This window comes from Homo sapiens, chromosome 12 (genome assembly GCF_000001405.40).
Source record: "Homo sapiens chromosome 12, GRCh38.p14 Primary Assembly".
NCBI classification, from domain to species: Eukaryota; Metazoa; Chordata; class Mammalia; order Primates; family Hominidae; genus Homo; species Homo sapiens.
The window spans coordinates 8,295,443-8,322,026 of NC_000012.12; the positions used below are offsets into that span (position 1 = coordinate 8,295,443).

A 26,584-nucleotide genomic window follows, 5' to 3' on the forward strand; every position below is an offset into this window, starting at 1 on the left:
GAGTTCAAGACCATCCTGGACAACATGGTGAAACCCCATCTCTACTAAAAATGCAAAAATTAGGCATAGTGACAACATGCCTGTAGTCATGTTGAGGCACAAGTTTGAGACATGAGAATCACTTGAACCCAGGAGGCAGAGGTTGCAGTGAGCCAAGATCGCACCATTTCACTCCAGCCTGGGTGACAGAGTGAGACTTGGTCTCAAAAAAATTTTAATTTTCTTTTTGTTTTTGAGATGGAGTCTTGCTCTTTTGCCCAGGCTGGAGCGTAGTGGTGACATCTTGGCTCACTGCAAGCTCCACCTCCCGAATTCACTCCATTCTTCTGCCTCAGCCTCCAGAGTAGCTGGGACTATAGGCACCCAGCACCATGTCCGGCTAATTGTTTGTATTTTTAGTAGAGATGGGGTTTCACCGTGTTAGCCAGGATGGTCTCAATCTCCTCACCTCGTGATCTGCCCACCTTGGCCTCCCAAAGTGCTGGGATTACAGGCATGAGCCATCGTGCCCGGCCTTAATTTTGTTTAATTTTTTTCTTTTTTGAGACAGGATCTGTAACCCAGGCTGGAGTGCAGTGGTGCGATCCCGGCTCACTGCAGCCTCTACCTCCTGGGTTCAAGCGATCCTCCCACCTCAGCCTCCCAAGTAGCTGAGACCACAGGCATGTATCACCACACCTGGCTAATTTTTTCCCTTTTTCTAGAGGCAAGGTCTTGCTATTTTTCCCAGGCTGGTCTTGAACTCCTGAGTTCAAGCAATCTTCCCACCTCAGCCTGGGAGTAATCCCAAAGTGCTGGGATTACAGGTGCGAGTCACTCTACCCAGCCTCAACTGTTTTTCATGACTCCACTTTTTCTCCCCTCTTGGAAATGAGTAGTCTTTGAGGGAATGTCTTTTTTGTCTCAATCTCTGGTTTCTTTACTCAGTGCACCTGTGTTTGGGGCTTTGTTGATCTCCAGGCCTTTTTCAGCAGCGTTGTCCCTGGAGAGCAGGATGGGAGCTGATGGCTTCTCAGCATCTTTTAACTCAGTTTAAAGATGACTGTCAACAACATCTAGTCAGCATCTGTTTCTCTCGGCAGCTGGGACTTCATTTCTTTTCTCTTTCTCCACCTCTTTAACCTCTTTAAGACTCTGTCTTTGTCATGGGTACAGCATCCCCTGTGTGGCCCTTAGGCTGTCTTACTTACATGTGATCTGCGTATTATGTCTTTACTTCAGGGCTTCTCAACCGGGAGTGATTTTGCCCCCCAGAGAACATGTGGCCATGTCTGGAGACAATTTTGGTGGTTGCGGCTGGAGGAGGTGGTGCTACTGGCAGCTAATGGGTAGAGGCCAGCGATGCTGCTAAGCATCCTACAATGCCCCGACAACTCCCACTAAGACAAAAGAATGATCCAGCCCCAAATGTCAATAGTGCTGAAAGTGAGAGACCCTGATTCCATCTTAGAGATCATCCAAGCACACTTGGCCAAATTGGTTTTGCTACTGTCCCATGAAGAAAAGGCAGACTCATGACTGATGGCAACATCGATGGGAATTTTGTTTACCTCTTCTTTGTGGACTTTGGGTTACGATGACTTACCATTTGTGCAAGTTGTGCATTGCATACCTCCAGGGGGCGCCACCCACATATTTATGAAAATGCCACCCCAGGAATTGCACAGTACATAGTCTACATGGCAATAAGCAGTTGCTCTGGTTTTGGGGTTGTCCTGAGGTGCTCTGGAACTGGGAGGAACTTTATTTCTGGCCATTAGAGGCCCTGAGCATGACTTTGAGTATCCTTTCAAGAAAGGAGAAATGTTGAACAGAGACGACCTCATTTTTATAACTCTTGACCATCATCTAGTTACGGAGCATCCACTTTTCACCCCTGGGCCATATCCATTTGAAGGGTGAAAAATCATCAAATTATAATATCATGGCTTATACTTTTGATAGCTTCTGCCCGGAACATGGCGGTAACAGCTTCTCATTTTCAATTGAGTCATTGGGGGAGAAAATATACACGGCTGCCCTAAGACTTTCTATTACATACCACTTGTTTGACGAGATTTCTTTAGTTTCTGCAGCATAACTTATTCTAACTGGTCCTCAATCACTTTGCAATAAAACCTGAGATTGTGAAGATGTTCATTGTCATTACCAGTGACGGAGCAGTAAGTACAGAGTTCTGGAGAGGGAAGGAATCGAGAGAGTTAAACTAGCAGAATGAGCCGCTCATCCTCAGAATTGCTTTTAATCTTGGTGAGAACTGAGGGGAATTTTGACAGTGTTCAGGGGGACTGCGGGGAGTGGGGCTGGGAAGTGGCTGTTTGCACGTGTGGTCAGCAAATCCAGTGAGGGGGTCCATGTACTGTGGGCAGCCCCACAGATGGAGTTGGGATTGCCCTAGACTGAGTACTGGGTCATCAGTACTCAAGACATCGAGGCCCAGGCTGGTGCAGGAGATACATTGCACTGTTTCAGCCTTTCTTCTATCGCTCCTCTCCAATGACAGTCCCCGATTTTCCGCCGAGGAATCACTAGTCCCCCATGACATGTGTGCGACTGGCCATTCCCCACCCTGATCTGGAGCTGGGGCATGTGGTCCCAGCCTGGATGTCAGTATCCTTCCACCACCCTGGCCACAGTGATTGGGTCTGAGAAGCAGATTAGCCAAAGGAGAGACAATCTTGGAAATTCCACATTCATGCTTAAGAAAGTAAAATGGAAAGCGGGGGGAGGGTGAGGGTTCATTCTGATAATACAGTTTTAGGACCTGGATGTAGCCACACCTGTAGCTGTCAACTCTGTGCCATAGTACTGCTTTTTTTTTTTTTTTCCTTCAAATTTAAATACTTTCTAAAGGCAAGGTCTTGCTATGTTGCTTAGGCTGGTTTTGAAAAGTCCCTTTTTGGGGGATGCTTTCACTGCTTCACTTCCTTTCTATGAGCTGTCGCTCATGGAATCAGAAGACAAGGGAGATGATTTTTTTGTTTGTTTGTTTGAGACAGGGCTTGCTCTGTTGCCCAGGCTGGAGTGCAGTGGTGCAATCACAGCTCGCCACAGCCTTGATCTTCTGGACTCAAGAGACCCTCCTGCTTCAGCCTGTTGAGTAGCTGGGACTGTAGGTGGGTACCAACATGGCCAGCTAATTAAATTTTTTTTTTTTTTTTTAGAAGTGAGATCTCACTATGTCACCCAGGCTGGCCTCAAACTCCTGGGCTCAAGTGATCGCCCTGCCTTAGCTTCCCAAACATACAAGGGTGAGCCCCCACACCAGTCAACGCTGTGGTTTTATGCATCTGGTGTCCCCCTACGCCCTGAGAAATGATCCTCCTGCTTCAACCTCCCAAAGTGCTGGGATAACAGATGTGAAGCAGCATGTGTGGCCCACATAGTATTCTTATGGGTTAAATTGAGTCCTCCTCAAAACATGTTGAAATCCTAAATTCTAGTAGCTCAGAATGTGACCTTATTTAGAAATAGAGTTATTGCGGGCCAGGCGTGGTGGCTCATGCCTGTAATCCCAGCACTATGGGAGGCCAAGGCGGGTGGATCACCTGCGGTCAGGAGTTTGAGACCAGCCTGACCAACAAGGAGAAACCCCGTCTCTACTAAAAATTCAAAATTACCTGGGTGTGGTGGCGCATACCTGTAATCCCAGCTACTCAGGAGGCTGAGGCAGGAGAATTGCTTGAACTCAGGAGGCGGAGGTTGCATTGAGCTGAGATCGCGCTATTGCACTCCAGCCTGGGCAACAAGAGGAAACTCCGTCTCAAAAGAAAGAAAGAAAAAGAAAGAAAGAAAGAGAGAGAGAGAGAGAGAGAGAGAGAGAGAAAGAAAGAAAGGAAAGAGAAATAAAGAAAGAAAGAAAAGAAAGAAAAAGAAAGAAAGAAAAAGAAAGAAAGAAAGAAAGAAAGAAAGAAAGAAAGAAAGAAAGAAAGAGGGTTATTGTAGATGCTGTTGATTAGGATGAAGTCATCCTGGAGTAGGGAGGGCCTAAGTCAATGACTGGTGTCCTTATAAAAAAGGAGAGGACACGCCGAGTCACAGAGACACAGGTAAGAAGGCCATGGATTGGATGGAAGATTGGACTGATGTGTATGCAAACCAGGAAACACTGAAGACTGCCAGGAGACCACAGGAAGCTAGGAAGAGGCAAGGCAGGACTCCCCGACAAGTGCAGGAGGGAGTGTGGCCCTGCTGGCACCTCCATTTCAGACTGCTGGCCACCAGAGCCACAAGACAATCAATTTCTCTGGTTTCAAGTCACCCAGCTTTTGGTACTTGGTTGTGGCAGCCCTTGAGAATGAATATAAGTACTTTCTCTTTTTTTTTCTTTTTTTGAGATGGAGTCTCACTCTGTTGCCCAGGCTGGAGTGCAGTGGCACGATCTTGGCTTACTGCAACCTCTGCCTCCTGGGTTCAAGTGATTCTCCTGCCTCAGCCTCCCAAGTAGCTGGGATTACAGGTGTGCGCTATCATGCTCTACTAAGTTATGTAGAGACGGGGTTTCACCATATTGGCCAGGCTGGTCTCGAACTCCTGACCTCAGGTGATCCACCTGCCTCGGCCTCCGAAAGTGCTGGGATTACAGGCGTGAGCCACCATGCCTGGCTGGTTTTGAAGAAGCCAGCCACATGAGTTCCACAGTTGCATGGAAATAAATTCTGCCAACAACCATGTGAGGTTGGGAGAAGACCCCAAGCCTCATATGAGACACTAATTCCAGCCGACACCTTGATCACAACCTTGTAAGTACCTGAGCAGAGGACACAGCTAAAGCTGCACCCCCAGACTCCTGACCCACAGGAAAGGAGAGGTAATAGATGGATGTTTTAAGCTGCTAAATTTGTGCTGATTTGTTATGCAGCTTAGAAAATGAATACATCATCCCATTTTTAAAAAATCATAAGCTAATCACACCATTCGATTTCTTTTTTTTTTTTTTTTTTTGAGACAGAGTCTCACTCTATCACCCAGGCTGGAGTGCAATGGCACAATCTTGGCTCACTGTAACCTCTGCCTCCCAGGTTCAAGTGATTCCCTTGCCCCAGCCCCCCAAGTAGCTGGGACTACAGGCAAGCACAACCACACCCAGCTAATTTTTATATTTTTAGTAGAGATGGAGTTTCACCAGGAGTCTCGAACTCCTGACCTCAAATGACCTGCCTGCCTCAGCCTCCCAAAGTGCTGGGGTTACTGACATGAGCCACTACACACGGCCTGACACACCATTCAATTTTAAGGAACTTCCAGGTGCTGTGGTCACGTTCCTCTTGTGTGGCATGCAGGTGGGGAGAGATGAGTTGGAAGATGACTGGATTGGGGCATGGAGCTAGTTGGGAAGAGGAAAAGTGTCTTGAAGGAAGTAAGTCCCTTCGGATAAGGGAGGGAGAAGCTTGATCAATATGCAGACTTTCACAGTCCTTCAGTCCTGGAGATATTGGTGGAGAGACAGGTCTTGCCTTACATTTGAGAGTTACCCTCCCAGGCAGAGGCCCTACTTCCACCTTCTTGCAGGTGGAGCTGGGGGGCAAATACTTAGATGAGAAACGAACACCCTTTGTAAGCATGTGAAAAGTTTCTGGAGTGGAGAGATGATGAAGCAGGATATTTGGAGCCAACAGCCAAAGTTTTTATTTTTTATTTTGTATTATACTTTAAGTTTTAGGGTACATGTGCACAACGTGCAGGTTTGTTACATATTTATACATGTGCCATGTTGGTGTGCTGTACCCATTAACTCGTCATTTAACATTAGGTATATCTCTTAATGCTATCCCTCCTCCCTCCCCCGACCCCACAACAGGCCCCAATGTGTGATGTTCCCCTTCCTGTGTCCATGTGTTCCCATTGTTTAATTCCTACCTATGAGTGAGAACATGTGGTGTTTGGTTTTTTGTCCTTGCAATAGTTTGCTGAGAATGATGGTTTCCAGCTTCATCCATGTCCCTACAAAGGACGTGAACTCATCATTTTTTATGGCTGCATAGTATTCCATGGTGTATATGTGCCACATTTTCTTAATCCAGTCTATCGTTGTTGGACATTTGGCTTGGTTCCAAGTCTTTGCTATTGTGAATAGTGCTGCTATAAACATACGTGTGCATGTGTCTTTATAGCAGCATGATTTATAATCCTTTGCGTATATACCCAGTAATGGGATGGCTGGGTCAAATGGTATTTCTAGTTCTAGATCCCTGAGGAATTGCCACACTGAATTCCACAATGGTTGAACTAGTTTACAGTCCCACCAACAGTGTAAAAGTGTTCCTATTTCTCCACATCCTCTCCAGCACCTGTTGTTTCCTGACTTGTTAATGATTGCCATTCTAACTGGTGCGAGATGGTATCTCACTGTTGTTTTGACTTGCATTTCTCTGGCTAGGGATGATGAGCATTTTTTTCACGTGTCTTTTGTCTGCATAAATGTCTTCTTTTGAGAAGTGTCTGTTCATATCCTTTGCCAACTTTTTGATGGGTTGTTTTTTTCTTGTAAATTTATTGGAGCTCATTGTAGATTCTTGATATTAGCCCTTTGTCAGATGAGTAGATTGCAAAAATTTTCTCCCATTCTGTAGGTAGCCTGTTCACTCTGATTGTAGTTTCTTTTGCTGTGCAGAAGCTCTTTAGTTTAATTAGATCCCATTTGTTAATTTTGCCTTTTCTTGCCGTTGCTTTTGGTGTTTTAGACCTGAAGTCCTTGCCCATGCCTATGTCCTGAATGGTATTGCTGAGGTTTTCTTCTAGGGTTTTTATGGTTTTAGGTCTAAAATTTAAGTCTTTAATCCATCTTGAATTAATTTTTGTATAAGGTGTAAGGAAGGGATCCAGTTTCAGCTTTCTCCATATGGCTAGCCAGTTTTCCCAGCACCATTTATTAAATAGGGAATCCTTTCCCCATTGCTTGTTTTTGTCAGGTTTGTCAAAGATCAGATGGTTGTAGATATGTGGCATTATTTCTGGGGGCTCTGTTCTGTTCCATTGGTCTATATCTCTGTTTTTGTACCAGTACATGCTGTTTTGGTTACTGTAGCCTTGTAGTATAGTTTGAACTCAAGTAGTGTGATGTCTCCAGCTTTGTTCTTTTGGCTTAGGATTGACTTGGCAATGTGGGCTCTTTTTTGGTTCCATATGAACTTTAAAGCAGTTTTTTCCAATTCTGCGAAGAAAGTCATTTGTAACTTGATGGGGATGGCATTGAATCTATAAATTACCTTGGGCAGTATGGCCATTTTCACGATATTGATTCTTCCTACCCATGAGCATGGAATGTTCCTCCATTTGTTTGTGTCCTCTTTTATTTCGTTGAGCAGTGGTTTATAGTTCTCCTTGAAGAGGTCCTTCACATCCCTTGTAAGTTGGATTCCTAGGTATTTTATTCTCTTTGAAGCAATTGTGAATGGGAGTTCACTCATGATTTGGCTCTCTGTTTGTCTGTATTGGTGTATAAGCATGCTTGTGATTTTTGCACATTGATTTTGTATCCTGAGACTTTGCTGAAGTTGCCTATCAGCTTAAGGAGATTTTGGGCTTAGACAATGGGGTTTTCTAGATATACAATCATGTCATCTGCAAACAGGGACAATTTAACTTCCTCTTTTCTTAATTGAATACCCTTTATTTCCTTCTCCTGCCTGATTGCCCTGGCCAGAACTTCCAACACTATGTTGAATAGGACTGGTGAGAGAGGGCATCCCTGTCTTGTACTAGTTTTCAAAGGGAACGCTTCCAGTTTTTGCCCATTCAGTATGATATTGGCTGTGGGTTTGTCATAGATAGCTCTTATTATTTTGAGATACGTCCCATCAATACCTAATTTATTGAGAGTTTTTAGCATGAAGGTTGATGAATTTTGTCACAGGCCTTTTCTGCATCTAATGAGATAATCATATCGTTTTTGTCATTGTTTCTGTTTATATGCTGGATTATGTTTACTGATTTGAATATGTTGAACCAATCTTACATCCAAGGGAGGAAGCTCACTTGATCATGGTGGAAAAGTTTTTGATGTGCTGCTGGATTCGGTTTGCCAGTATTTTATAGAGGATTTTTGCACCGATGTTCATCAGGGATATTGGTCTAAAATTCTCTTTTTTGGTTGTGTCTCTGCCAGGCTTTGGTATCAAGATGATGCTGGCCTCATAAAATGAGTTAGGTAGGATTCCCTCTTTTTCTATTGTTTGGAATAGTTTCAGAAGGAATGATACCAGCTCCTCCTTGTACCTCTGGTAGAATTCGGCTGTGAATCCGTCTGGTCTTGGACTTTTTTGGTTGGTAAGCTATTAATTATTGCCTCAATTTCAGAGTCTGTTATTGGTCTATTCAGAGATTCAACTTCTTCCTGGTTTAGCCTTGGTAGGGTGTACGTGTCGAGGAATTTATCCATTTCTTCTAGATTTTCTAGTTTATTTGCATAGAGATGTTTGTACTATTCTCTGACGGTAGTTTGTATTTTTTCTGGGATTGGTGGTGATATCCCCTTTATCAATTTTTATTGTGTCTATTTGATTCTTCTCTCTTTTCTTCTTTATTAGTCTTGCTAGTAGTCTATCAATTTTGTTGATCTTTTCAAAAAACCATCTCCTGGATTCATGGATTTTTTGAAGGTTTTTTTGTGTCTCTATTTCCTTCAGTTCTGCTCTGATCTTAGTTATTTCTTGCCTTCTGCTAGCTTTTGAATGTGTTTGCTCTTGCTTTTCTAGTTCTTTTAATTGTGATGTTAGGGTGTCAATTTTAGATCTTTCCTGTTTTCTCTTGTGGGCATTTAGTGCTATAAATTTCCCTCTACACACTGCTTTGAATGTGTCCGAGAGATTCTGGTATGTTGTGTCTTTGTTCTCGTTGGTTTCAAAGAACACCTTTATTTCTGCCTTCATTTCATTATGTACCCAGTAGTCATTCAGGAGCAGGTTGTTCAGTTTTCATGTAGTTGAGTGGTTTTGAGTGAGTTTCTTAATCCTGAGTTCTAGTTTGACTGCACTGTGGTCTGAGAGACAGTTTGTTATAATTTCTGTTGTTTTACATTTGCTGAAGAGTGCTTCACTTCCAAATATGTGGTCAATTTTGGAATAAGTGTGTTGTGCTGAGAAGAATGTATATTCTGTTGATTTGGGGTGGAGAGTTCTGTAGATGTCTATTAGGTCCACTTGGTGCAGAGCTGAGTTCAATTCCTGAATATACTTGTTAACTTTCTGTCTCGTTGATCTGTCTAATGTTGACAGTGGGGTGTTAAAGTCTCCCATTATTATTGTGTGGGAGTCTAAGTCTCTTTGTAGGTCTCTAAGGACTTGCTTTTTGAATCTGGGTGCTCCTGTATTGGGTGCATACATATTTAGGATAGTTAGCTCTTCTTGTTGAATTGATCCCTTTACCATTATGTAATGGCCTTCTTTGTCTCGTTTGATCTTTGTTGGTTTAAAGTCTGTTTTATCAGAGACTAGGATTGCAACACCTGCCTTTTTTTTGTTTTCCATTTGCTTGGTAGATCTTCCTCCATCCTTTTATTTTGAGCCTATGTGTGTCTCTGCACATGAGATGGTTTTCCTGAATACAGCACACTGATGGGTCTTGACTCTTTATCCAATTTGCCAGTCTGTCTTTTAATCAGAGAATTTAGCCCATTGACATTTAAGGTTCATATAGTTATATGTGAATTTGATCCTGTCATTATGATGTTAGCTGGTTATTTTGCTCATTAGTTGATGCAGTTTCTTCCTAGCCTTGATGGTCTTTACCATTTGGCATGTTTTTGCAGTGGCTGGTACTGATTGTTCCTTTCCCTGTTTAGTGCTTCCTTCAGGAGCTCTTGTAGGGCAGGCCTGGTGGTGACAAAATCTCTCAGCATTTGCTTGTCTGTAAAGTATTTTATTTCTCCTTCACTTATGAAGCTTAGTTTGGCTGGATTTGAAATTCTGAGTTGAAAATTTTTTTCTTTAAGAATGTTCAATATTGGCCCCCACTCTCTTCTGGCTTGTAGAGTTTCTGCTGAGAGATCAGCTGTTAGTCTGATGGGCTTCCCTTTGTGGGTAACCTGACCTTTCTCTCTGGCTGCCCTTAACATTTTTTCTTTCATTTTAACTTTGGTGAATCTGACAATTATGTGTTTTAGAGTTGCTCTTCTTGAGGAGTATCTTTGTAGTGTTCTCTGTATTTCCTGAATTTGAATGTTGGCCTGCCTTGCTAGATTGGGGAAGTTCTCCTACATAATATCCTGCAGAGTGTTTTCCAACTTGGTTCCATTCTCCCTGTGACTTTCAGGTACACCAATCAGACGTAGATTTGGTCTTTTCACATAGTCCCATATTTCTTGGAGGCTTTGTTCATTTCTTTTTATTCTTTTTTCTCTAAACTTCTCTTCTTGCTTCATTTCATTCATTTCATCTTCCATCACTGATACCCTTTCTTCCAGTTGATCGAATCGGCTACTGAGGCTTGTGCATTTGTCACGTAGTTCTCGTGCCTTGGTTTTCAGCTCCATCAGGTCCTTTAAGTACTTCTCTGCATTGGTTACTCTAGTTAGCCATTCGTCTAATTTTTTTTCAAGGTTTTTAACTTCTTTGCCATGGGTTCGAACTTCCTCCTTTAGCTCGGAGTAATTTAATCGTGTGAAGCCTTCTTCTCTCAACTTGTCAAAGTCATTCTCTGTCCAGCTTTATTCCATTGCTGGTGAGGAGCTGCATTCCTTTGGAGGAGGAGAGGCACTCTGATTTTTAGAGTTTCCAGTTTTTCTGCTCTGTTTTTTCCCCATCTTTGTGGTTTTATCTACCTTTGGTCTTTGATGATAGTGACGTAAAGATGGGGTTTTAGTGTGGATGACTTTTCTGTTTGTTAGTTTTCCTTCTAAGAGTCAGGACCCTCAGCTGCAGGTCTGTTGGAGTTTGCCTGGGTGTCAGCAGTGGAGGCTGCAGAACAGAGGATATTGGTGAGCAGCAAATGTTGCTGCCTGATTGTTCCTTTGGACGTTTTGTCTCAGAGGAGTACCCGGCCATGTGAGGTGTCAGTCTGCCCCTATGAGGGGGTGCCTCCAGTTAGGCAACTCAGGGGTCAGGGACCCACTTGAGGAGGCAGTCTCTCCATTCTCAGATCTCCAGCTGCATGCTGGGAGAACCAGTATTCTCTTCAAAGCTGTCAGACAGGGATATTTAAGTCTGCAGAGGATTCTCTGCCTTTTGTTTGCCAATGCCCTGCCCCCAGAGGTGGAGCCTACAGAGGCAGGCAGGCCTCCTTGAGCTGTGGTGGGCTCCACCCGGTTGGAGCTTCCCAGCTGCTTTGTTTACCTACTGGAGCCTAGGCAATGGTGGGCGTCCTTCCCCCAGTCTTGCTGCCACCTTGCAGTTTGATCTCAGACTGCTGTGCTAGCAATGAGTGAGGCTCCATGGGTTTAGGACCCTCTGAGCCAGGCACAGGATATAATCTCCTGGTGTGCCGTTTGCTAAGACCATGGGAAAAGTGCAGTATTAGGGTGGGAGTGACCCGATTTTCCAGGTGCCATCTGTCACCCGTTTCTTTGACTAGGGAAGGGAATTCTCTGACCCCTTGCACTTCCCGGGTGAGGCAATGCCTCGCCCTGCTTAGGATCATGCTTGGTGTGCTGCACCAAGTGTCCTGCACCCACTTTCTGACACTCCCCAGTGAGATGAACCCAGTACCTCAGTTGGAAAAGCAGAAATCACCTGTCTTCTGCATCGCTCATGCCAGGAGTTGTAGACTGGAGCTGTTCCTATTCGGCCATCTTGGCTCCACCCCCGCTATTATGATTCTTACACAGAGTTCTTTGCTTTCCAGCAGCCTCCTCTTCCTCCTTTTTAGGTTGGAATCCCTCTATTTTAGTGGCCACTGGGATTCTGAAATGACCAGGTCTTTGTCTCAGAGACCTCACACATGCTCTTCCCTCTGCCTGGAACACTTTTCCTTGCTGTGGTCCCCTGAGATCTCTTTCAGCTCAACTGCCCCATGCTCAGAGACCCCCTTTCTCCCTCTCTAGTTTGAAGCCAGTTTACCCCTGTAGTCTGTGCCTGGAAAACTCGTTTTCCTCCTTGATGCCTCCTGAGTTGTCACAGGATGTATGTGCCTGTTTGGGTGTCTGGTGTCTGTCTCCCCGACTGGACTGCATGCTCCTGGTGAGCTGGAGAGACTGGACTAGCATAGGCCAAGGCCCTGGGGCTGGAAGGAGCAGGGCAGAAGGCACAGGCAAAAGGTCTGTGATCTAGAAGGAAGTGAAGGAGAGGGAGAGAGATGAGAGAGATGCAGAAGATGGGCCAGGGGCCAGGCTGTGTGGAATCTTTTGGGCCACAAAAAGACATTTGAGTTCTTATGTAAGAGGACCAGGACACCATTGGAGGGTATGAGTCACCTCATCTAACTGAGCTCTGTAAATGTCAAGGTTTCATTATTTTTATACAATTATTTAAAAGTGATTTTAGTTATTTACCTTTTTATTTTTATTACTTTTATTTTTTTTTGAGACAAAATCTTGCTCTGTTGCCCAAACTGGAGTGCAATGGCATGATCTCGGCTCACTTCAACTTCCACCTCCTGGGTTCAAGTGATTCTCCTGTATCAGACTCCCGAGTAGCTGTCGTTATAGGCATCTGCCACCACGCCCAGCTTATTTTTGTATTTTTAGGATAGACGACATTTCACCATGTTGGCCAAGCTGGTCTTGAACTCCTGACCTCAGGTGATCCACCTGCCTCAGCCACCCAAAGTGCTGGGATTACAGGGGTGAGTCACCATGCTCGGCCTTATTTACTTTTTTAAAAAAGAACAGGCCAGTCACGGTAGCTCGTGTCTCCAATCTCAGCACTTTGGGAAGCTGAGGTGGGATGATCACTTGAGGCCAGGAGTTCAAAACCAGCCCAGGCAACATAGTGAGACACCCCCTTCCCCAATTTCTAAGAAAATGAGAAAATTAGGCATGGTAGCTTGTCTGTATCCCTAGCTACTGGGGATCCTGAGCTAGGGAGGACTGCTTGAGACCAGGAGTTTGAGGCTCCACTGACCTGTGATTATGCCACTGAGCTACAGCCTGGGCAACAGAGTGAGGCCCCGGAGCCGCCTCAGCCTCCCTAGAGCTGACCGAGCTTTTGCTTCTTATCACAGGGAATGACGGACGCTGGGGCTTTGATGGGCATCGGATGAAATGGGCAGAGTGACGCTTACCTGGGATGGTAGTGAAGTGGGATGGGGAGGTCATTGTGACAGGGGGCTGCATGGGTAATTGGCCTTGATGCCCTCCCCGGCCAGACGGTCCAGGTTGGGGGTGTCCACACCCTGATCCTAGTCCCAGCGGAAGCCCTGGAAGATGAGCAGCAGTAGTGAGTGCTCTTCTTCCCTGGGAGGGGGTGGCCGCCCAGCAGGACAGGCAGCGGCAGCAGCAGCTGGAGGGCGCCGAGCCATGTCATCCCACGAGCACCTGTCATGCACTCCTCACAGAGTTCATGGGCTTCTCCCTCTTTAGTCCGTTGTTGAACGAAGTCCACATTAATAATTCAGCCCAGCTCTGTTGTGGGACAAACAAACTGGAGTGTAGCAAGGTGCTGCATATTTGCAGGACAGTATGAAAGCATTCTGGAGATGGATGGGGGACATGGCTGTACAATGTGGTGGATGCACTTAACACCACTGAATTTTTCCTTTGAAAATGGCTAAAATAATAGATTTTGTATGTATTTTACCACAATAAAAAATCAAACTGGCCGGGCATGGTGGCTTACACCTGTAATCCCAGCACTTTGGGAGGCCAAGGCAGGTAGATCATTTGAGGTCGGGATTTCAAGACCAGCCTGGCCAACATGGAGAAACCACATCTCTACTAAAAATGCAAAAATTGCCAGGCATGGCGGTGCATGTCTGTAATCCCAGCTACTCGGGAGGCTGAGGCAGGAGAATTGCTTGAACCCGGGAGGCAGAGGTTGCAGTGAGCCGAGATTGCGCCACTGCATTCCAACCTGGACGATGGAACGAGACTGCATCTCCAAAAAAAAAAGAAAAAAAAAAATCAAACCACATGAAATATTTTGGACTCTTATACTAATTCCAACATTTTGAAGATCTGGGGAGAACAAACTAGATTGGTGCTTTCCTTGGCTTATTATGTCCTGTTTTTATAGAGAGAGCAAATTATTGTTCACCAGCACTATTAAAATAGCTACAACAGGATGGGCATGGTGGCTCACACCTGTAATCCCAGCACTTTGGGAAGCTGAGGTGGGAGGATCGCTTGAGCCCAGGAGTTCAAGATGCCAGCCTGGGCAAAATGGTGAGACCCTGCTACTACCAAAAAATACAACAACAACAACAAAAATAGCTAGGTGTGGTTGTGTGCATCTGTAGTCCCAGCTACTTGAGAGGCTGAAGTGGGAGGATCACTTGTGCCCAGGAGGTTGAGGCTGCAGTAAGCCGTGATTATGCCACTGTACTCAGCCTGGGTGACAGAGTGAGACCCTGTATGGAAAAAAAAATAAAAAGTTGCAGTGGACTCGGTGATCATGAGGCCAGGCACTGTATACATGTACATCATCTCATTTAATTTTTTCTCTTGTTTAAAATTAGTTTTTCCTCTAATCCCCATGTTGATCGACATCTTTTTAATCCTAGGAATTAGTTGAAAATTTCGCGTAAGAATTAAAAGTTGCCTGGCCTGATGGCTTACACCTGTTATCCCAGCACTTTGGGAGGCTGAGATGAGAGAATCACTTGAAGCCGGGAGTTTGGGCCAGTCTGGGCAATATTGCGAGAATGCAACTCTATAAAAAAATTTAAAAAGCTGGGTGTGGTAGGGTTCACATGTAGTCCCAGCTACTTGGAAGACTAGGTGTGAGGATTGCTTGAGCCCAGGCGGTAAAGGCAGCAGTGAGCTATGATTGTGCCGTTGCACTGCAGCCTGGGTGATGGAGTGAGACTCTATCTCTAAAATAAATGAATAAAATTGTGGTATAATATATGCAACATTTACCATTTTGTGTATCTGAAAGTGTACAAGTCAGTGACATTTTGTACATTTATCATGTTGTGCAATTATCACCACTACCTAGTTTCAGGGCTTTTTCAACACCTCAGTTGGAAGCCTCATATCCATTCAGCAGTCACTCTGCATACCCCCTCCTGCAGCCCCTGGAAACCTCTCATCTACTTTCTATCTCTGTCGATTGGCTTAGTCTGAACATTGCATATAAATGGAATTGTACAATATATGACCTTTCATGTCTGCTTGTTTCACTGAGCATGTTTTTAACGTTCATCCATATCACAACATGGATAAGTTTTATTTTCTTTTTAGACCCAATCTAAAAAGAAAAAAAGTTGTAAAACAAAAACAAAAAATATATAGGATGGAGTTCAGATGAGTCCTGCAAAGTTTATAATATTTACTATCTAGCACTTTACATAGAAGCTTGCCTAGCTCTGAATGATATGCAGGTACAGAGATGACATTTATCTTGGCACTTATAGAAAGACCTATAAATTGTATAAAGACATCATCATTGGATTTCCAGTAACAAGAAGCGGCAAGACATGACGGTGTGTCCAGGTGTTCAGGTGAGGTTTAGGGAAGGTCTTGTCTTGACGAGGTCGGATGTGAGACCCAGATGAGATAACCCCATTTCCCCTGCTGAAATTGCCTGAGAATTTCATTCCAGTTATTTGCGTAGGTTGATTCTTTCGGTGGGGGTGGGGTGGGTGAGGAGGTGAAGTGTCAGGGGAGTTCTATTTTGTATTTGCACAACTTGGCTTTCTTTTTACTTGGTGTGCTGTTTTGCTGTATGAGGAATTTCATAGCATTTTGTGATGAGTATGCAGCATAGTGGTTTGAATCCTGCCAGGCCGAGGGTCATATCTCAGCTCTGAAACTCATTATCTATGACTCCTTGCGGCAGGTCCCATAACTCTCCAAGCCTCTGTTCTATATTTCATGTGGTTGTGAGGTTCAGATGAAATAATGCATGCTGGCAGGAATGGTTACTGCTCATGGGATTTCCAGGTGCTTCCCATATTCCCCAGACCCCCTGTAGTTAGATGGATCCATGCCAGGGTCCAGTGCTCTATAAGTGGAAGTCACTGACATCACCTCTAGTCTACAGCTTTTGAGGGCTTGGGAATAACTCTCTCATTCTCTCATCTCCTGGTGCAGTAACTATGGGAGAATCCTTGCATTAAGATGGTAGAATTTCCGTCATTCTAGGATTTTGAGTGGCCATATGGAGCACATCATACCCAGGCAACCCATTGTGGACATGTAATGTAAGAAATCAACCTTGGTTGCTAAGCTGCTGAGACTCTGGGGTTAATTTGTTACTGCAGCATAACCTAGTCCATCCTGATGCATGCAGCATGCAAACCACTTATGTTGACCCTTAGTCATGGTAAGTGCTCCACAGATGTTGGTTACTTTTGGTAGGAAGATAGATTGCCTCTGAAAGTTTTGTTAGGTGATCTCATGATGCCAATATTGCTATTTTGTAATTGGATAAATTGGACTTGGCTCTCCTTCCAGCATGTGGGAGAGAAAGATGACTGAGAGACAATAAGGCACTATTATCTTCAGTTTGTGTCCTTGGATACCCTTGGTGGCAATGAACAATGCATGCCCCTCTGAGAAAACTGGACCTAAAGGAGAATGGGAGATGATACCAGAATTGGGAACCTCCAAGGCCCCAGGCATTCCCTGGTCTGGAGAAAACTTTGAGTCCTTGGTGGGAAGATTCTCCAAGGGAACATAAATGCTTCTACTACCTAGTTTGTCTCTTTGAGAAGTAAAACTTTTTTTTTCATTCCAGTAGCTTTTGGGGTACAGTTTGTCTCTTTGAGAATTGCATACTAATTAATTTTAGGGGTCATCTGTACACATCTCTATATTCCTGAAACATGGTAGAAACAGCCAGCAGTCAGGCGACAATCTACTATGACCACTAAAGTATCCCCAAAGTGAAACACCAGATGTGATCCACTAGGTTTAGTGGAGGTGGCTGGCTTGACAGTTGATTATATTTATTATTGTCACTGTGGTGATTATGGCCACAACATTGTGATGCGTGTTGGTGTTCTTTTGGTGAGCTGCAGTTTGGAAGGAATAAATCCTTTTTTTTTTTTTTTGAGTCTTGCTCTGTCACCCAGGCTGGAGTGCAGTGGTGCCATCTCAGCGTGCTGTAAACTCTGCCTCCCAGGTTCAAGTGCTTCTCCTGCTTCTATGGCCAGGCTGGTCTTGAACTCCTGACCTCAGGTGATCCACCTGCCTCAGCCTCCCAAAGTGCTGGGATTACAGGTGTGAGCCACCATGCTCGCCCCATTATTCATTTAACCAATATCTATTGAGCACATTGGGTGTGGTGGAGGATGAACTGCAGGGGAGAGAGGAAGCCTCCTCCTGCCACTATGTTTTCAAGTTGTCCTAATACTCCACCATGACACGCAGGCTTGTGGGTCCCAGAGCTCCAGAAGCATCTCCCGACCACAACATCCTGACCCAGATTCTACTGAATAATACGTGAGTCTAGCAGAGCGATCTCTGACACTTCCCTTCTTTTGAACGGCTGATCTGTCAGCCATGGGGAGCCCTTATGAAAGTGCAGTGTGTTTTGTGAAACTTGAGGTTGATCAAAGAATACCATTAAACTTTGTTAAGAAATCTACATATTGATGACATAGGCAGTGGGGTGGAGGTGGGGAAATTCCCAAATACATTTTAGGAATTATCTCAGGAGGTAATAGTCAGAACTCTTGGTTGCCAGTGACAGAAACTCATCTTACTAGTGTGGAGTGGAAAAGGGATCATGTTTTTCTCTGCACTCCCCAACCCCAACCCCAACCCCAAGCAGATCCTGAAAGAGGGACAGGATTGCAAGTGGATTATTTAGGAGATGATTCCAGGGAACACCAATAGAGGAGTGAGGAATTGATTCATGGAAAGGCAGGAGGCCACACAGGGGGCTTCAATGAGCAGCTTACCACTCCAGGCAACTAGGATTTGACCCCACTGGGGACCTCTGGGAGGTGATGTGGAATACATTTCAAAGTTGTTCCATCCAGGGGGCAAAGATATTGAAGCATTTATAGCCTGGCTCCTATCCGTCACTTGCTGAGGACTGATCCCATGGCATCAACTCTCTGGCTTTGCTTTTTTCTTTTTTCTTTTTTTTTTTTTTTTCAGACATAGTCTTGCTCTGTCACCCAGGCTGGACTGCAATGGCATGATCTCGGCTCACTGCAACATCTGCCTCCCAGGTTCAAACGATTCTCTTGCCTCGGATTCCTGAGTAGCTAGGATTACAGGCGCCTGCCGCCATGCCCCACTAATTTTTTTATTTTTTGTAGAGACGGGGTTTTGCCAGGTTGATCAGGCTGGTCTCGAACTCCTGACCTCGTGATCCACCTGCCTCGGCCTCCCAGTGTTGGGATTATAGGAGTGAGCCACTGCACCTGGCTTCTGTGGCTTTTCTGACATACTCCATGCCTGACTTTGAGAAAGCCCTCAGGTGAAAGTCTTGGTTGTATGCAGTAGCAAGCATGTACTAGAATGATAAAAACCAAGGGGCTTACCACAAGATCTCTCTATCTCTGTCTCTAGCTTTGTCTGCATACTGGCTTAATTTCTTCTTACTCAAGCCTTTTCTGCATAAGGCGAGGAACGTGGCCACAAAAGCTCCTGTATTTCTCACTACACACAATTCCTGTCATCACAGAGAATGATTAACTTGGTCTAGTTCCAGTTTGGAAAAATATTCAAGGGAAGAATTCTGATTGGCCAATTTAGGCCAGATGCTCATCCCTGGACCAATCAACTGAGGCCAGAGGGGTGGAGTCATTTGAGAACATTGCAGCCCCCATGAGAGCCACATGAGTGGAGTAGGAAGTGTGAGTCTCCATAGAGGGGAGGGCTGCTAGGCTGAAAAGGCAATAGATGTCTGCAGTGAAAAGAATAGATCAGGAGATACATTCTGTTAAACCTGTTAATTATTTGAAAAAAAGAGAAACTTTCAATATACAGTCACAGTATACGTGAGCCGGTGGCTCACGCCTATAATCCCAGCACTTTGGGAGGCTGAGGTGGGCAGATCAGAGGTCAGGAGTTCGAGACCAACCTGACCAACATGGTGAAACCCCGTCTCGTGCGCCTGTAATCCCAGCTACTCAGGAGGCTGAGGCAGGAGAATCGCTTGAACCAGGGAGGCGGAGGTTGCAGTGAGCTAAGATCATGCCACTGCCCTCCAGCCTGGGCAAAAGAGTGAGACTCCTTCTCAAAAAAAAAAAAAAAAAAAAAAAAGTTACATTGTGGTTCCCCCAGAATGATTTATCAGAAAGGAAAAACTTACAATATGCGTATTTCCTATGCATAGGCTACTGCTATGAATTGAAATTCTTAAATTCCAAAGATTAATTAAAATGTTTCTTAAGACACATAAACTGTTAGAATCTGCTTATAATGAGGCTGAAGTTGAGTAAGAAGAGAGCTGGCATTTAGGACATTACTTTTCTTCTGTCGAGTACTGTCAAGATTTGGTTCTGCCTGGAAGTAGATGCACCTCAAGGGAGGGTTGCATGTAAAGGTGTGTGTGTGTGTGTGTGTGTGTGTGTGTGTGTGGTAGTTTCCAAAGATGGGTACAACTTTCTGCAAATGCTCGTGTAGTGTAATTGAACCAATCTTTTCTTTAAGAGGTAGAGTTTATACTCCTCTACATGAATCTGGGCTGCCTATGACTTGCTTTGGCCAGTGGAATGCTGCCAAAGTGATGGTGACCAACTTCTAGCCGTGAAAGGAAAATAAATTTTGGGACCCTAAGATCACTAAGCTAGGCTGGGCTCGGTGGCTCATGCGTGTAATCCCAGCACTTTGGGAAGCTGAGGCGGGCAGATCACCTGAGGTTAGGAGTTCAAGACCAGCCTGGCCAACATGACAAAACCCCATCTCTACTAAAAAATATGAAAATTAGCCAGGCGTGGTGTCAGGCGCCTGTAATCCCAGCTACTTGGGAGGCTGAGGCAGGGAAATTGCTTGAACCCTGGAGTTGGAGGTTGCAGTGAGCCGAGATCGTACCACTGCACTCCAGCCTGGGCAACAGAGCGAGACTCTGTCCCCCCACCCAAAAAAAAGTTACTAAGCTAAAGAGAAAACTCAAGCTGGGAACTGCTTAGGGGAAACCTGCCTCCCATTCTATTCAGTCACCCCTTTGCTCACTGAGATAAATGTATATCTGATTGCCTCATTTGGAGAGGCTAATCAGGAACTCAAAAGAATGCAACCATTTGTCTCTTAACTACCCGTGACCTGGAAGCCCCTTCCCCTTGTCTCACCTTCACCTTCACCTGGAGTTGTCCCGCCTTTCCAGACTGAACCAATGTACATCTTACACATATTGATTGATGTCTCATGTCTCTCTAAAATGTATCAAACCAAGCTGTGTCCCTACCACCTTAAGGACATGTTGTCAGGACCTCCTGAGGCTGTGTCACAGGCAAGCGTCCTCAACCTTGGCAAAACAAACTTTCTGAATTAACTGAGACCTCAGTTTTTTGGGGTGCATATAGTCTTAGGCCTTGAAAGCCCTCTCGTAGTTTCCATATTTTTGCCCTCTTGGATGCTGGCACCAAGCAAACCTTGGCTATCCTGCTTAAAGGGCCATTTGGAGAGGGGCTCTGGAGGGCGAGGGGCCACATGGAGGAAAACAAGCTTCCCCGGCTGACAACCAGCACCAACTGCCAGGCACATGCATGAGGCCGTCCTGGATGTTCCGCCCAGCTGGCCCTCCAGCTGCAGGTAGCCACACAAATGAGCCCAGGTTAAAGCAGCCAGGAAGTCCCCATGCAACTCACAGGGTCATGAGCAATAATGGCTTGTGGTGGTTTAAAGTTTCTAATTTTAGGTGCAATAGGTAACTGAAACAGCCCACAAGGGTGTGAGCCTGTGGAGGGTGCATTTCCCACCTGCTGAAGCTTCTCAATTCCCAGGATCCAATCCAGATAAGACTCTTGTTCTCAGTGTCCTTGATGGAAATGGCAATGAACTTTTTGCAGATTGGACCATCTCGGGAATCCCAAAGATCGGAAACTATTTTCTTTCTCAGAATCTTCCACACAGCATTGAGCCTTAGGAATTTCTAAGAAGGATCTGGAATGAAAAAAAATCTTTTGAAAAGGTATTTGTATAGCTTCAGTTCAGCAAGATTCATGGCGGGTATTAGACTAAGTGCTGGTGTTAAGCCAAACCATGTTTTTCAAAGACTCATCTGGCCTCAAGGTTGGCAGGATCAGAGTGGCCTCCCAGGATCTATCACATCCTCAGAAGAGTTGGTTCAACTGGCATATACCCAGATCTCTTTGAGCTAGTATGATACTCCCTTGAGTCAAAGGCTGCCACATCACATCTCCTTTAAGTCCCCCTAAATACGACCCCAGAAGTATTGACAAAATAGTGCTATTCCTGAAGATTTCAGGAGGACATAAATGAAGAGACTAAACTGCAAGGTACCAAAACTTCCATCTTTGCTAAAGACCCTCATCCAGGCTGGGCACGGTGACTCATGCCTGTAATCCCAGCAATTTGGGAGGCCAAGGCAGGCGGATCACCTGAGGTCGGGAGTTCAAGACCAGCCTGACCAACATGGAGAAACCCCATCTCTACAAAAAATACAGAATTAGCCGGGCGTGGTGGCACATGCCTGTAATCCCAGCTACTAGGGAGGCTGAGGCAGGAGAATCTCTGGAACCTGGGAGGCATAGGTTGCAGTGAGCTGAGATCGTGCTATTGCATTCCAGCCTGGGCAACAAGAGTAAAACTCCATCTGAAAAACAAACAAAAAGTCCTTATCCAATGGTCGTGCCACTCTATCTGGCCATGTAATTTCTCCTCCTGGCTTTCTGTAGCAACAGGCTTCTGAGGAACCTCACTCTGCCTTTCAAAACCCCTTCAACTTGTACCCTTCATCAGCAAAGTACTTAGCTCAACATGTATGCCTCTGGAGGAACTCATCCCCATGCCATTTAAGGATATTTCCAGCAACATCATCTTCACTACCCCAGGACAGCATTTTAGAGTGGATTACGTGCCTGCTGGATGTGTTGTACTTGAGGGAGTTAGAGAAAATGCCACACTTTGAGACGAATTAAGAGTCTGTTTATTTAGCCAGCGGCTAAGAAATGGCTAACGTTTAAAGTTCTCTCGGCCTCGAAGAAGGGGCTAGATTTTCTTTTATACTTTGGTTTAGAAAGGGGAGGGGGGGAAATAGTTAAAACAATTTTACAGAAGTAGGCAAAAAAGTTAAAAGGAAAAACTGTTACAGGAAAGTAAACAGTTCTAGGTCTAGGGGCTTTAAGACTATTACAAGGTGATAGACGCCAGGCTTTGGGCGTTATCAATTGGACGAATTCCTGAGAACTGCAGATACTGCTCGCCACAGTATCTTATCAGTTAATTGCATTCTTGGATGTGCTGGGAGTCAGCTTGTACAAGTTAAGTCCTTGGGGAAGGGGCTGCCAGTGAAAGAGCCAAGATGGAGTCTGTCTGGCTCTCTTAGCTAAGGGAGAGTCAATTCAGGTGGAAATAAGGCTAGGTGATTAAAAGAAAGGGAGAGTCTAAGAACAGGGTTAGTAAAAACAAGGTTGGGCATTACATTCCTCACTTGTGTTTTTGGGGAATCAAATCGTTGACTCTTCAGTTATAACAAGGGGGTTATATTGAGTCTTAAGATACATAAGTTTGACAGAAACTATGTGTTGTTTTACAAAATTAATAAACTAATTTAATATACAAGGTCTAAAAATTAGACTTAATAGTAGGATTGGGAGGGGGTCTGGCTAACTTAGTAGTTAGAATAGTTAGCTCTGGGTTCTAGTTGAACATGCTTTGATACTAGGGGATGTTATTTTCTTGTTCTTGTTGGCGCTTATCTAGATGTTCTTGCACTGTCTGGAGTGTATCTTTTATGACTAAGAATGGTGGAGGAACAGTTAAATCAACTTGTCAGGGTGTTTCTGGAACATAGGGTTACTTAGATCAGTTAAAGGCCTGATTGGCTTGGGTGGGCTTTATGAGACTAGGGTTTTTTTGGATGGTGAACATAGTCTTAACATTAAATCCTGGGATATAAAATCTTAATCTTCATGACATGCCATGATACTATTGAGTTGAATTAAGGTCATGGACAGCTATAGTAAGAGGATTACAATTTTTCTAGTACATAATTTAGGATGAGAAGCACGACTTGTGGAAAGAGTTGAAGATCTGGTTGATCTTTTAGAGTAGGTGGCTAAAGTTACACATGTCTAATCAGGGCAGAAAAACTGATAAGTATCTTGACAGCTAACATCAGGGTGATTTCTAGGACAGAGGTAAAAGCCAATATTTTGGAGTCTTTTTTCTGCACTTTTGGAGCCTCTACACTTAGTTTGGCTCTTGGAGTGTCTGAATCTTGCTGCAAGGTCGACACTTCCTGCTCCTGGGACTGACAGATTGTGTTGCTTTTCGTGGGTATGGGCTGGCTTTGGGAATAGTACAAATAAATCCACTGCAAAGGAGACTTCTTTGGAGGTACTGGCCTTCTAAGTGGTGTTTGCAAATACACGTCCTGTTGTGAAAGAGGTGAGGAGAAAGGAGTAGGAAGGCACAGGGGATGTAACGGGCAAAAACAAGTAAGTGAGGTAGTAAAAAGGATGAATCTAATGGCTTCACCTGACTTAGGTGCAGTTTTAAGGGGACTGACTTAGGCCTGGGGACTTACGTTTTTAGCTGGGATCTGTTGGCCTTTTTGATGCAGGAGTGATGAATCTAACTAGGAATGCCATCTATTTTCAGAGCCACTGGTGTCCTGAGGATGACGGTGTGAGGTCTTTTCTAAGCAGGAGCGAGTCTTTCTTTTTGGAACTTTTTAACAAACGCTAGGTCTCCTGGCTGGAAAGAATGGCAGGACTTTGGTCAGGAATTGGATTGGGATGGGCTCCTCGAACAAGTGGCAGGATGATATCTTGTACCTGTTGGAGAGACTATAGGTACTGTAACAAATTAGTTTGTGATATTTCTGCTAATTTGGCATCTCTTAGCTTAGGCAAGATAGGCGGCGCCTTCTTATACATGATTTCAAAAGGTGAGAAATTCTCCGGGTAAGGGGTGCACCTTACTTTAAGTATGGCTAAAGGAAGGAGACTTACTTAATTTACACTGTTTTTTTAAGATTAATTTTGTAGGAGTGTTTTTTAGGGTGTGGTTCATGCTTTCTACTTGCCTGGAGCTCTGGGGTTGATAGGCACAATGGAGCTTCTGTTGAATGCTTAACACCTTACTGACTGACTGAGCTATAGGTGAGGGGAAGGCTAGTCTATTATCAGACTTTATGGCAGCAGACAGCCTATATTGAGGGATGATTTCATTGAGTAAAAACTTAACTACTGTGTTGGTGGTTTCATTTTTGGTAGCAAATGCCTTAGTTTATCTGGAGAAGGTGTCTACTAGTACTAGAAGGTATTTGTACTAAGCCTGGTGTGGTTTTACTTCTGTAAAGTAAATTTCTTACTTTTTTCTTGGCGAGTTTTTTCAGAGACAGTGGCCTGGGCTGGGTTTAGGACTTTGTTTGGCATTTACTTGGGCGCAGGTTGTGCACTGGAGAGCTGCTTAATCTGTTAGGCTTTGAAGATGGGGGATCTTAAAATGGCTCTGGAGGAGCTGAGGTAGCTTTGCTCTTCTTAAATGGGTGGTAGACTGTAGGTAACTGATTAAAGTTTCTTTAAGAGTTCAGGGTATGAAGATTCCAGAGTCAGGAAGAATCTACTAACTTTCCTGATTTTTATTGGCTCTGAGATCTGAAGCCAGTTTTTTTGTTGTTGAGTGTACGGGATTGTCATGCAGATCTGGCTGTGGAAAGGAGACTGTAGGCAGCAAGTTTAGAGGCGTGACTGAAAGTCTCGCTGAGACCTGAGCTGCTGAATCAGCTTTCTGGTTACTATGGGCAATGGCTGTGTTTTCTTTTTGATGTCCTTTGCAGTGGATCACAGCTATCTGCTGAGGTGAGTAGCCTGCTTTCCTGGTAGATGGCTTTACGTACATGCACAGTAGCAAAGGCGTACTTGCTGTCACTGTAGATGTTAATACGTTTATTCTACTTTATCGGAGAGCCTGAGTGAGGGCGATCAATTCAGCCTTTTGTGCTGAGGTGTTCGCTGGTGAAGCTTGAGCTTACAACACATCTGTCTCTGTGGTAACAGCTGCACTGGCTTTTCATACTTCCTGCTTGAGGAAGCTGCTACTGTCTGTGAAAACGGCGGCATCTGCCTCTTCTAGGGGCACAGCTTGAAGATCAGATCAGCCAGTTTCGATAGTTTCTAACAGTTCTTGACAGTCATGAGCAGGAATAGTGGAGTCTGAGTCAGGAAGTAGTGTAGCTGGATTGAAACACTTTGTGGGAGAGAAAGTCAAACGAGGCTGATCTAACAGTAAACTTTGATACTGCAAGATGCGAGCATTTGACATCTATTTGCCAGAAGCATTTTGTAGCAAGGTCTTTACGGCATGAGGAGCTGTAAGGGTTAAATTTGGGCTTAGAGTTAACTTATCATCTTCTTGGGCCAGGCTTGCTGTAGCCGCTATGGTTCGCAGACAACTTGGCCATCTACAGGCCACAGGATCTAGCCTCTTAAATAGGCCACTGGGCATCTTTAGGGTCTTAGAATCTGAGTGAGCCGTCTTTAGCAACTCCTTGGCTTTTTTGGAGATATTAGAGAGGGCTAAAGCAGGGGCTTCAGTTAACGCTAAATTAATGGGCTATTTCATTCTGTACTTCTTGGATAGTTGCCACTAAGATTTTTGTTTGTCTTTTGAATGCTTTATGAGTGGCCTTTTCAGCTGCCTGTGTTGCTTGTTTTTGTTTTTTAAACTTATGATTGTCAAAAACTTTTTGGGCTATTTCTGAAAGCTGACTGATATTTATTCTAGCAAATCTTTCTAGTTTTTGGAGTTTCTTTTTAATATCCGGGGCTGCCTGAGCCACAAATGCTAAATTAGGAGCACGGCTACTTTCGGGAGCTGCCGGGTCAAAAGGGGTGTAAATCCGATAAGCCTCCTGGAGGCGCTCTAAAAACGTTCTTGGTGACTTATCTGGCCTTTGGACAACTTCGGTCGTCTTAGACAAGTTTATGGGTTTCTGAGCGGCTCTTTTAATACTTGTGAGAGGAGATACCAGTGAAAATCGTCTAAAGCTCCCTTTCTACTTGAAGAATTTGGGTCCCAGTTAGGCCGGGTAGAGGGAAAGACCTCCTCAAGGAGGTCTCTAGCTTCTCCTTCCGGTCCACTGGCTGATGTGAGGAAGTACTTTTTGGCTTCTTTTCGGATACGTTCTTTCTTTTCAGAGGTGAAAAGGGTTAAAAGGAGCTGTTGGCAATCATCTTAGGTGGGTGAGTGAGTCCGGAGTACAGACTCTGTCAGAGAGGTCAAAGCCTGGGGCTTTTCAGAAAAGGGAGGATTATAAGTTTTCTAATTATGTAAGTCAAAAGTAGAAAAAGGGACACAAACTAAGAAGGGTGCTGAGCGCTCGTCACCTGGAGGGACTTGTGCCTCTCTCAGTGGTAGTAGAGGGGCTACTTCTTCCTGCCACGGTCATGATTGAGAGGC

The 26,584-nt window shown here is 44.6% G+C and overlaps 1 long non-coding RNA gene across 1 annotated transcript, besides 3 other annotated features; it reads right to left on the bottom strand.

The window, feature by feature from the left end:
- Positions 1-12,823: 12,823 nt before the first annotated feature.
- Positions 12,824-24,830, bottom strand: LOC107987171 (uncharacterized). Its single transcript, XR_007063200.1, has 3 exons — positions 23,706-24,830; positions 20,914-21,097; positions 12,824-13,290 (listed from the first exon to the last, which is right to left on the bottom strand). It is a non-coding gene; the product is annotated as an uncharacterized LOC107987171 (long non-coding RNA).
- Positions 20,677-20,866: an enhancer, noted in NCBI's record as "active region_5932". NCBI's record gives its function as "activates an Ori minimal core promoter by ATAC-STARR-seq in GM12878 lymphoblastoid cells {active_cell/tissue: GM12878}" and the evidence as "EXISTENCE:reporter gene assay evidence [ECO:0000049][PMID:35858748]".
- Positions 24,053-24,912: an enhancer, noted in NCBI's record as "OCT4-NANOG-H3K27ac hESC enhancer chr12:8472091-8472950 (GRCh37/hg19 assembly coordinates)". NCBI's record gives its function as "activates a minimal SCP1, AML or CMV promoter by ChIP-STARR-seq in primed H9 embryonic stem cells {active_cell/tissue: H9 hESC(primed)}" and the evidence as "EXISTENCE:reporter gene assay evidence [ECO:0000049][PMID:30033119]".
- Positions 24,913-25,772: an enhancer, noted in NCBI's record as "OCT4-NANOG-H3K27ac hESC enhancer chr12:8472951-8473810 (GRCh37/hg19 assembly coordinates)". NCBI's record gives its function as "activates a minimal SCP1, AML or CMV promoter by ChIP-STARR-seq in primed H9 embryonic stem cells {active_cell/tissue: H9 hESC(primed)}" and the evidence as "EXISTENCE:reporter gene assay evidence [ECO:0000049][PMID:30033119]".